Source organism: Homo sapiens, chromosome 3 (genome assembly GCF_000001405.40).
Source record: "Homo sapiens chromosome 3, GRCh38.p14 Primary Assembly".
NCBI lineage: Eukaryota > Metazoa > Chordata > Mammalia > Primates > Hominidae > Homo > Homo sapiens.
Window position 1 is genome coordinate 69998860 of NC_000003.12, and position 11141 is coordinate 70010000.

At 38.2% G+C, this 11141-nt stretch overlaps 1 long non-coding RNA gene across 24 annotated transcripts in view; it reads left to right on the forward strand.

Moving 5' to 3' along the window:
- Nucleotides 1-728: 728 nt before the first annotated feature.
- Nucleotides 729-11141, forward strand: part of SAMMSON (survival associated mitochondrial melanoma specific oncogenic non-coding RNA) — a 435002-nt gene continuing 424589 nt past the window's right edge. For 13 of the 24 annotated variants that reach the window (NR_186031.1, NR_186032.1, NR_186030.1 and 10 more), the window contains exon 1: nt 874-1008. This is a non-coding gene — a long non-coding RNA (survival associated mitochondrial melanoma specific oncogenic non-coding RNA). Of the gene's footprint in view, nt 762-873; nt 1009-10264; nt 10427-11141 lie in introns of those variants that run through there. The other 11 variants (NR_186029.1, NR_186026.1, NR_186027.1 and 8 more) reach the window with 2 other exon arrangements.

Consider the following 11141-nt stretch of genomic DNA (forward strand, 5'->3'; position numbering starts at 1 on the left):
GAAATGGCTGGCCACGGAAAACCTTCTGTTCCTAGCATTCATTTCCAGAATGTCCCCAGACTGCTTGTTTGCTCCCTCCCAGCCAACAAAGGGCAGTCAAATGTACCTGAAGATCAATTAGAAAGTCACCCTGGCTTCCAGAAATCTCACCTTTATAGAACCCTCAGCAGTCAGAGGCTGTCTCAGCCTATCCTTTTTTATTCTATAAAAATCACTCTCCTCTCTAACACCCGGGAACCCTGCTGAAACGAAACTGACAGCAGATGGGTTCCCTTGCCATCAATTTATGAATAAACAGCCTTTGTTCATTTTGTCTCGAACTTAGTTTTGTCTTTGACAGATGTAACCATGACTTAAAGCAATACCCGGCTTGTAGAAGAAGTATTTACTTATTCAACAAATATCTACTAAGTACCTACTAAGTGCCAGGCACTATTCTCAGCACTGAGACGTAAGATACGTAATTTGTCATTGGTGACTCACTTCTTGTGAATCCAAGAGCTCCATAAATAGTGGTCATTTATTATTAACAATCCTTTCTGAGATAAAAACCTGCTTTTTATAGTTTACGGAGAAGTAGCTTTTGTTTTATAAGTGTAACTGCAACCAAATAGTTCCCACATGATATCATAGCCCACTTGTGATACGGGAGTACCGGGAACGGAAGAGCGTGGTCCCTTTAAATGATACGGAAGTGGGGAAGGGAAGTGAGGGGTAGAGGAAGGCGGGTCCCTGGCTCGGCTCTACCCCCATGGATCTAGGTGAGGACAGGCGCTCCTGCTTTCCCGCCCAAATGTTGTATTTTCCAAGCCTACCCTTGCCGGCCACGCCCCCAACCTGGGCCTATAAAAACCGCCCCCCGCAGGCCCTAGCGGGCAGACACACTGAAGTCGCTAGACATTTGAGGAACACATCCGGGGAAGAAGACACAGGTGGCTGGTCATGGAGAGCCCGCTGGGGGAAGAGCACACAGACAGGCACCGGCAGGCCATTGACCAGCGGGACAAGGTGGAGTTTGGCTGGGGCAGTGGGAGGAGAGCTGGGGCCGCCGAGCTGCCCTACTCCAGGGGAAAACCACCTCCCTTCTCGCTCCCCCATCACCGGAGAGCTACTTCCACTCAATACAACTTTGCACTCATTCTCCAAGCCACGTGTGACCAATTTTTCCGGTACACCAAGGCGAGAAATCCGGGGATACAGAAAGCCCTCTGTCCTTGCGATAAGGTAGAGGGTCCAATTGAGCTAACACAAGCTGCCTATAGACGGCAAACTAAGAGAGCACCCAGTAACACACGCCTGCTGGGGCTTCAGGAGCACACACGTCCACTGGGGCTTCGGGAGCTGTAAACAGTCAGCCCTAGACACTGTCGTGGGATCGGAGCCCCACAGCCTGCCTGTCTGTATGCTCCTCTAGAGGTCTGAGCAGCGGGGCGCTGAAGAAACGAGCCACACTCCCATCACACGCCCTGAGAGGAGGACAAGGGAACCCGTACCGTTTCACTTGTGATAGAGATAAAGTTATTATTGTTGTAATTTTAACTTATAGAACTATAATATAATGGTACAATGATATATATTGACAATATTCCTCTTTCACCCACATTTTGTATCTGTGTTCAAGATTAAATGAAAAAGGATATTCTCAAAAAGCTAGCAAAACCAAAAGCAAGACGTTATGCCAAATGTAAACATATTTCTGTTTAGCAAATAGCAGGAGTGTATAAAACATTTCTCTTTTCACATAACAGAATGTTCTATGCTTACTGTATTAGTTAACAAATTCAAGTCTGTTTATTTTGTTTGAAATTCCACTTCATCCATAAATTACAGCATTACACAATAACACCAGAAGGACAATATCACCATTGTTTGCTTTTACAGTCATCTCAGCCCACAAAATGCTTCCCATTGTCAGCTTGCTATCATCAAGCTATTGTTGTTTTCCTCTTTCTGGGGTCTTGTATTAATATCATTCAAATTATTTAGACACTCAACAGTGTTTTTGCTATCAGTGCAAACCTCTAAAGAGCTGGAGCCCCAGCGTGATGACCAAATAACCCTTGACTATTTATCTTGCCGTAAGTCATTATTTCCTGAGGCCCTGGAGAAGCTGTGTTGCCATGTGTGCACTGCAGGGACGGGGAGCTTCTCCTGCCGGAGCTGGTTTGTTCCACTGGACAATGAGCCCTTTTCTGCTTGGCTCTCTGTATGGGCACATACACAATGAGGCGGTTTAGGGAAGAGGGGTGATGTGGGTCATTGATAACAACAATCCCCGAACTTCTTAAAGAATTGTTGAGCCCCCTAAAAATATGTTGTCTTTATGAATTATCCTTAACCCTTTTTAATTGCATAAAAACTTCAGGCACTTGAAAAAAATTAAAAAACGAAAAGTAAGTCTGTCTCTAGTATCCCTCTTCTCCTTTGTAGAATTACATCCTTTATTCACTCTGCCACTATTTATTATGTGCCTCCTGTGTGTAAGACATACTGTTAGTCATTGGAAATACAGAAATGAATGGGACAGACACACTTCTTGCCCTCATGGAACTTAGGGCCTAATGGGAGATACAATGTTAAGGTTGTTTCTAGTGTTTTTTTTTTTTTTTAAGAATATGTTCTACATGTATACATGTAATATGTATTCTCTCCCATTTTTAAAAAACATAAATGGTGGTTTACTATGTGTACGCTTTTTGGTTTTGCATTATTCTTTTAACAGTATGTAGAGGATGCATTTTCTACTGTATAGTGTTCTGTCCCCCTTAAATAGCACTCTGATTTTATTTTGGGGGGGAATCACGACTTTCTAATTTTGCATACTCCTTGTGGGATTGTAAATCAGGTCCCCTGTCCTCAAGTAGCCAATGGTTAGGTATGCAACCCAGCTTATCTCTCTTTAGACTCAATCTCAAGCAGATCCAGAGTTACTCAGGATCAGAACAATATTTGAAAGGCATTACCAGAATCCAGACAAGATGATGGAGCAATACCTGATGCCCAGTGGTCTAGGGTAGCCGATTCCTGTTCTGCTCTCCAGGCTCCTGTCCATTCTGTGGATCAACTCATATTGCTCCAATTCATTTTGTTTTGCTTGCATAAGCCAGAATTAACTTCTGTTGCTTGTAAACAAAGAGAGTTAACCAAAGACATACAGTATATCAGAGTATAGAGACCTACTTTACTCTCGGTCATTGCCTGCATGAGTCTTCTTTATATGGATGTATCACAGTTTATTTAACCACTCCCTTGTAAGTGGACATTTAAGTCTAGTGTTCTGTAAATAAAAGGTCAGAATATACGTCTGTATACAGTATATATTCTTGCATATCCACCTTTGGACAGATGTGTGAATGTGTTTTGTAGAAATACATTTGTAGAAATGCAACTGCTGGGTCAAAGAATTAGTAGATTTTTAATAACATCAAACAGCGTTGAAGGCCCCCATATAAGAATAACAACTACTGACTGAAGACATAACTAATTAAAAAAATTAATTACAGCTTATTTGTAATAACTTCTTATTGTCACTGAGTGAAAAGGTAATTCTCGTTGAATTTACGAAAAGTGACTAATAGGAAATTTAGAAAACTCAGAGAATATATAAAAACACAAAGAAAAGCCAGCCACCAAGTCGCTTATAATTCTCTCACCAACAGTGGCAGAATTACATTTAGTCATCATCATTATTCTTACATCCAGTTTTATAGTTATTTTTGAAGAGGATTATTATCAACTATCAACTCTGTCATAGCTGGAAGTAGAGGCCACTAAAACAGATTTCTTAAACTCCAAGTACTGTATATGGATTTTCTACTTTTTTTTGTTTTTGATTACTAATTTAGTTGCTAGAGGTCAGAGAACATACTCTATATGGTTCCAACCTCTTGAAATTTATTAGGAGTTACTTCATGGCCTGTTATCAATTGTGGTTACATTTTACATGTGCCTGTGAAGAATGTGCCTTATCTAGTTTGGGACAGTATTCTATGTACTTGCTTTGAATTGGGTTTGCTAGTTGTGTTCTTCAGATCTTTTACATCTATACTGATTTTGTTCAGTTGGCCTGATAGTAGCAGAGAAATAGATGTTAAAATATCCTACTATGATTGTGGATTTACCTACTACTTGTTATAATTCTGTTAATTTTTGATTCATGTATTTTGAGGTTATGTTGTTAGGTGCATACAAATTTAGAATTCCTGCATTTTCCTGAGGAGTAAATATTTGTTATTTATTTGCCTCTGTTTACTCCAATAGTACTTTTGACAGAAAATATATTTTGTTTTATTTCACAGTTTCCATTTTGTTAGTTTATATGGCATGTATTTTTACTCTTTTTAAAAATATTTTGCCTTCAACCATTATACTTAATGCCTTTTAAACAGTGTATAGTGGTTTGTTTTGTTTTGTTTTTAAATCCAGTTGGATAGTCTTTGTCATTTAAATGGAGCATTTAGTACATTTATAGTTAATGTAATTATTGATATATTACAGAGTGTCTCCTATCTATCTAGCCTATCCCCTCTTCTTTTTCTTTTCTCTTTTATGTTTTTGGATAAATTTTATTGAAGAGTTTTTCTTATCTCATGCTTTGCTCTAGGAGTTTGAAAGTTTTACTTATATTATTTTGGTATTTACATGGTTATTAAATCTATCTTTGACATATCAAAGTCTAATATTAGGACTTTTAACTTTATTATGAACATTAGTGATAGCCACTTTAATGCTATTTATTCTCTACTGATTAATATGACATTGTGTATTTTAATTTTATATATTACAAAAGCCAGTAAGACATTAGTATTATTGTTTTGTACATTCAGTATTCATTTTGACACATCACATATTTACCATATTTTTTTTGCTCTTTACTCTTTTTGTATGTCTGTTCTTTCATCTGGGATAATCTTCCTTCAGCTTAAAGAATACTTTTTAATATATTTTTTAGTAAGTATCTGGTGACAAATTCTTCTAGTCTTTTAGAATGAAAATGTCTTTATTTTGGCTTCATTGGGAATTAATTTTTTTAATTTGCCAGTTTGACAGGTGATAATGGTATTATACTGCTTTAATTTGCATATATTTTATATATTTACTATCTTTTTTCTTTCTTCTCTTGGGTACTTAATTTTTTACAAAGTTAAAAGCTTCTTTTTTCTTTCTGTTTCTTTTGTCTTTTTGCAGGAGAGGAGGAGAGGCTGAATTTTTCATATAACTGGGGTTAAAATACTATTATGATTTTGGTAACATCTGTTTATTGTGCACAGGTGTTCATGCACACACACAGACACAAGACACCTGTCTAAGAGCTGCCTATGGCTAGTAAGTTAGCTCACATAAAGTTAGTAAAGTTAGTAAGTTAGTAAGTTGCCCACATAGAGTGGGCAGACATTTTGTTAACAACACCAAGACGTATAAAACATTCTGTAAATGTTATTTTATAAAAAATTCTGTAAAAATTTTTGATTTCTTGGGACAAACTTTTATTTCTGATAAAGCCTATTAGTTCAGAAGGATGTCTTGGTACCATAAAAAGATATCAGAAAAATTACAAATTATAATCAATATGTACTTTATTATTCTGTAGGTGCAATAATGAAAGAAAACCTGGGTGACAGTCAACTTGTAGAGCTAAAAGGGATCCTAGAGACAACATAGCTAACACCTAGGATTTCTTACAGCTTAAAAGAGGTACAGATCAGTCCTATCTTCTAAGACTTCCAAAATGTTAGAAACAAAGAAATACCTAAACCAGCTTACAACATTTACAACATTTTTTAAAGTTTGAAAATTTCAAATTAAAATTTAGTCAGCATACAAAATACAATGCAACATAACTGCATTGGTCACAAGTTATAGTTTTTAAAAACAAATACTAACACCACATTACACAGGCAGTGAGTTCAGATAATGAGACATAAAGTTTTGTGGAGAACGTTATCTATTATCCATCCTTGAGTATCTTTCTCTGATCACGTGTAAAACAATACATAGAGTTCATGTTTAAGCATCTACACCTAAGGCTTTAAATCCTAGGCCAAATGACCCACTTAGCCACTTTTTTTCATTTTACTGATGACAAAATGGAAGCCCAAAGGGGGAACTGCTTTATCCAGCATTGTTTCACTGAGTGGCAGAGCCCGGGCTGGAGCCAGAACTCTGAATGCTAGACCAATGTTTTCTCATCTGAGTGCGTTCTCTCTCTTTGCTACAATGTTTCAGTAAGAGGAGATTTTTCTGTTGAAATTTCATTGAAGGGAAGAGATAATCCTGGGCCAATAGAAATTCACTCCTTCAATGAAATATTTTATTTTAAAAGTTACCTGAAAGTCTGTGGTTATTCTCTTATCCCTCCTGCCCTTGTTTAAGTTATATATTGATGAATAACAGAGCACCCCAAAACTTAGTGGCTTAAAAAGATAATAATTTATTATTATTCACAGTACTTACATTAGGAATGCTAGTAGAGCTTATCTGGGCAGTTCTTCTGTTCCATATGGGGTGGGCTGGGCTGGGAGCTACAAGAAGATGCTACTTACTTGTCCCACATTGCATCTCTGAACTTCACCATGTGTCCTTCTTTCTCCATGTGGTGTTTCATCATTTAGTATTCTGGCCCAAGCTTTTTTAGAGCGTGGCATCTGGCTTTCTACATTCAAAGTGGAAGCTCTTAAAGGCCTCTTGAAGACCTTGACCAGAACTGGCAGAGTGTCACCCCCACCATATTCCACCAGCCAAAGCAGGTCACAGGCAGGACCAGATTCAGAAAAAGGGGCAGAGCATTTACCTCTTGATGGTTGGAATGACATGCAGGTACAGGGTGGGAAGGAATGGAGGGAAGTCGTCTTTGGATACTATTCACCACTCTCCCTTAGCACGTACTTGGTATTTCTTTTCTGAAGACCAGAACACATTGCTTCTTTCAAACTTGTTTTTATTTTAAAGCATAAATTAGAACATGAGTTGCACATATGCTTACCCACTTGGTCCTTTCCTTATTGACTAAAGATAGAACAGACTTGTTCTAAACAGGCTTCAGTTAATGCAAAGTATGTAGGCCACCCCTATAGAAACTTGCTTCATAATCAAGAATTCATGTAATGTTTTAGTTTTTCTTTTGCCTCAGCCCTCCTGGTATTAGCCAATAAAAGAATTATAGTTTTAATAACTAGTTGACAGAGCTGATTTTATCGATTTTAATAAATAATCAAACATGCCTGAAAGCAAAAACATCAAACAAATGATTTAAATCCCTAAAACCTTGCCTGTGCTAATCATGAAACTCAGTTAAATGACTAAGATAAAACAGATTAGTGTCATTAGGCAAAAAAAGAACATGCACCAATTACAGAATATGTCTTATCAGTTTGCGTAATAAAAACCTCAAATGCTAGATGAGCAGCTGTGCTCTCACACATTTGTGGAGTGTTTCAGACTCTTATTTTAAATAGTCATCCAAGGGAAACCAATAACCACATCATAAGAAAGAGGAAGGGAATGTGTATTAAGGGCCCGCCCTTCCCTCATGGCGTTCTGTCCTTTTGTATTTTTCCTGAGCCTTATAAAGTTTGGCGAAGCTGGATACAAAGACTCAGAGATGAAGTAAGTAGTCCAAGGACCTACAGCTAATGAGAGGTGGAAGTAGGATTTGTACCCAGGTCTTAGTGGTTAACCAAGTCCATGTGATTTCTACCACTCCTATGCTACTTCTCAAAAGGGAATAAAACCACAGCTTATCAGGAGCAATGCTCCTTGGATCAACCCTAAGACCTTTCCTGTTTATTTTTTTATTTTTTCCTTTTTTTTAAATTATACTTTAAGTTTTAGGGTACATGTGCACAACGTGCAGGTTAGTTACATATGTATACATGTGCCATGTTGGTGTGCTGCACCCATTAACTCGTCATTTAACATGTTAATGCTATCCCTCCCCCCTCCCCCCACCCCACAACAGGCCCCGGTGTGTGATGTTCCCTTTCCTGTGTCCATGTGCTCTCATTGTTCAATTCCCACCTATGAGTGAGAACATGTGGTGTTTGGTTTTTCGTCCTTGTGATAGCTTGCTGAGAATGATGGTTTCCAGCTTCATCCATGTCCCTACAAAGGACATGAACTCATCATTTTTTATGGCTGCATAGTATTCCATGGTGTATATGTGCCACATTTTCTTCATCCAGTCTATCATTGTTGGACGTTTGGGTTGGTTCCAAGTCTTTGCTATTGTGAATAGTGCCACAATAAACATATGTGTGCATGTGTCTTTATAGCAGCATGATTTATAATCCTTTGGGTATATACCCAGTAATGGGATTGCTGGGTCAAATGGTATTTCTAGTTTAAGATCCTTGAGGAATCGCCACCCTGACTTCCACAATGGTTGAACTAGTTTACAGTCCCAACAACAGTGTAAAAGTGTTCCTATTTCTCCACATCCTCTCCAGCACCTGTTGTTTCCTGACTTTTTAATGATCGCCATTCTAACTGGTGTGAGATGGAATCTCACTGTGGTTTTGATTTGCATTTCTCTGATGGCCAGTGATGATGAGCATTTTTTCATGTGTCTGTTGGCTGCATAAATGTCTTCTTTTGAGAAGTGTCTGTTCATATCCTTCACTTTTTGATGGGGCTGTTTGTTTTTTTCATGTAACTTTGTTTGAGTTCATTGTAGATTCTGGATATTAGCCCTTTGTCAGATGAGTAGACTGCAAAAATTTTCTCCCATTCTGTAGGTTGCATGTTCACTCTGATTGTAGTTTTTTTTTTGCTGTGCAGAAGCTCTTTAGTTTAATTAGATCCCATTTGTCAATTTTGGCTTTTGTTGCCATTGCTTTTGGTGTTTTAGACATGAAGTCCTTGCCCATGCCTATGTCCTGAATGGTATTGCTTAGATTTTCTTCTAGGGTTTTTATGGCTTTAGGTCTAACATGTAAGTCTTTAATCCATCTTGAATTAATTTTTGTATAAGGTGTAAGGAAGAGATCCAGTTTCAGCTTTCTACATATGGCTAGCCAGTTTTCCCAGCACCATTTGTTAAATGGGGAATCCTTTCCCCATTTCTTTTTTTTGTCAGGTTGTCAAAGATCAGATGGTTGTAGATACGCGGCATTATTTCTAAGGGCTCTGTTCTGTTCCATTGGTCTATATATCTGTTTTGGTACCAGTACCATGCTGTTTTGGTTACTGTAGTCTTGTAGTGTAGTTTGAAGTCAGGTAGCATGATGCCTCCAGCTTTGTTCTTTTGACTTAGGATTGACTTGGCGATGTGGGCTCTTTTTTGGTTCCATATGAACTTTAAAGTAGTTTTTTCCAATTCTGCGAAGAAAGTCATCGGTAGCTTGATGGGGATGGCATTGAATCTCTAAATTACCTTGGGCAGTATGGCCACTTTCACGATATTGATTCTTCCTACCCATGAGCATGGAATGTTCGTCCATTTGTTTGTATCCTCTTTTCTTTCATTGAGCGGTGGTTTGTAGTTCTCCTTGAAGAGGTCCTTCACATCCCTTGTAAGCTGGATTCCTAGGTATTTTATTCTCTTTGAAGCAATTGTGAATGGGAGTTCACTCATGATTTGGCTCTCTGTTATTGGTGTACAAGAATGCTTGTGATTTTTGCACATTGATTTTGTATCCTGAGACTTTGCTGAAGTTGCCTATCAGCTTAAGGAGATTTTGGGCTGAGATGATGGGGTTTTCTAGATATACAGTCATGTCATCTGCAAACAGGGACAATTTGACTTCCTCTTTTCCTACTTGAATACCCTTTATTTCTTTCTCCTTCCTGATTGCCCTGGCCAGAACTTCTAACACTATGTTGAATAGGAGTGGTGAGAGAGGGCATCCCTGTCTTGTGCCAGTTTTCAAAGGGAATGCTTCCAGTTTTTGCCCATTCAGTATGATATTGGCTGTGGGTTTGTTATAAATAGCTCTTATTATTTTGAGATACGTCCCATCAATACCTAATTTATTGATAGTTTTTAGCATGAAGCGTTGTTGAATTTTGTGAAAGGCCTTTTCTTCCTCTGTTGAGATAATCATACGGTTTTTGTCTTTGGTTCTGTTTATATGCTGGATTATGTTTATTGATTTGCATATGTTGAACCAGCCTTGCATCCCAGGGATGAAGCCCACGTGATCATGGTGGATAAGCTTTTTGATGTGCTGCTGGATTTGGTTTGCCAGTATTTTATTGAGGATTTTTGCATCCATGTTCGTCAGGGATATTGGTCTAAGATTCTCTTTTTTTGTTGTGTCTCTACCAGGCTTTGGTATCAGGATGATGCTGGCCTCATAAAATGAGTGAGGGAGGATTCCCTCTTTTTCTATTGATTGGAATAGTTTCAGAAGGAATGGTACCAGCTCCTCCTTGTACCTCTGGTAGAATTCGGCTGTGAATCCATCTGGTCCTGGACTTTTTTTGGTTGGTAAGCTATTAATTATTGCCTCAATTTCAGAGCCTGTTATTGGTCTATTCAGAGATTCAGCTTCTTCCTGGTTTATTCTTGGGAGGGGTGTATGTGTTGAGGAATTTATCCATTTCTTCTAGATTTTCTAGTTTATTTGCGTAGAGGTGTTTATAGTATTTTATGGTAGTTTGTATTTCTGTGGGATCGGTGGTGATATCCCCTTTATCATTTTTTATTGCGTCTATTTGATTCTTCTCTCTTTTCTTCTTTATTAGTCTTTCTAGCAGTCTATCAATTTTGTTGATCTTTTCAGAAAACCAGCTCCTGGATTCATTGATTTTTTTGAAGGGTTTTTTGTGTCTCTATTCCCTTCAGTTCTGCTCTGGTTTTAGTTATTTCTTGCCTTCTGCTAGCTTTTGAATGTGTTTGCTCTTGCTTCTCTAGTTGTTTTAATTGTGATGTTAGGGTGTCAATTTTAGATCTTTCCTGCTTTCTTTTGTGGGCATTTAGTGCTATAAATTTCCCTCTACACACTGCTTTGAATGTGTCCCAGAGATTCTGGTATGTTGTGTCTTTGTTCTCATTGGTGTCAAAGAACATCTTTATTTCTGCCTTCATTTCGTTATGGACTCAGTAGTCATTCAGGAGCAGGTTGTTCAGTTTCCATGTAGTTGAGTGGTTTTGAGTGAATTTCTTAATCCTGAGTTCTAGTTTGATTGCACTGTGGTCTGAG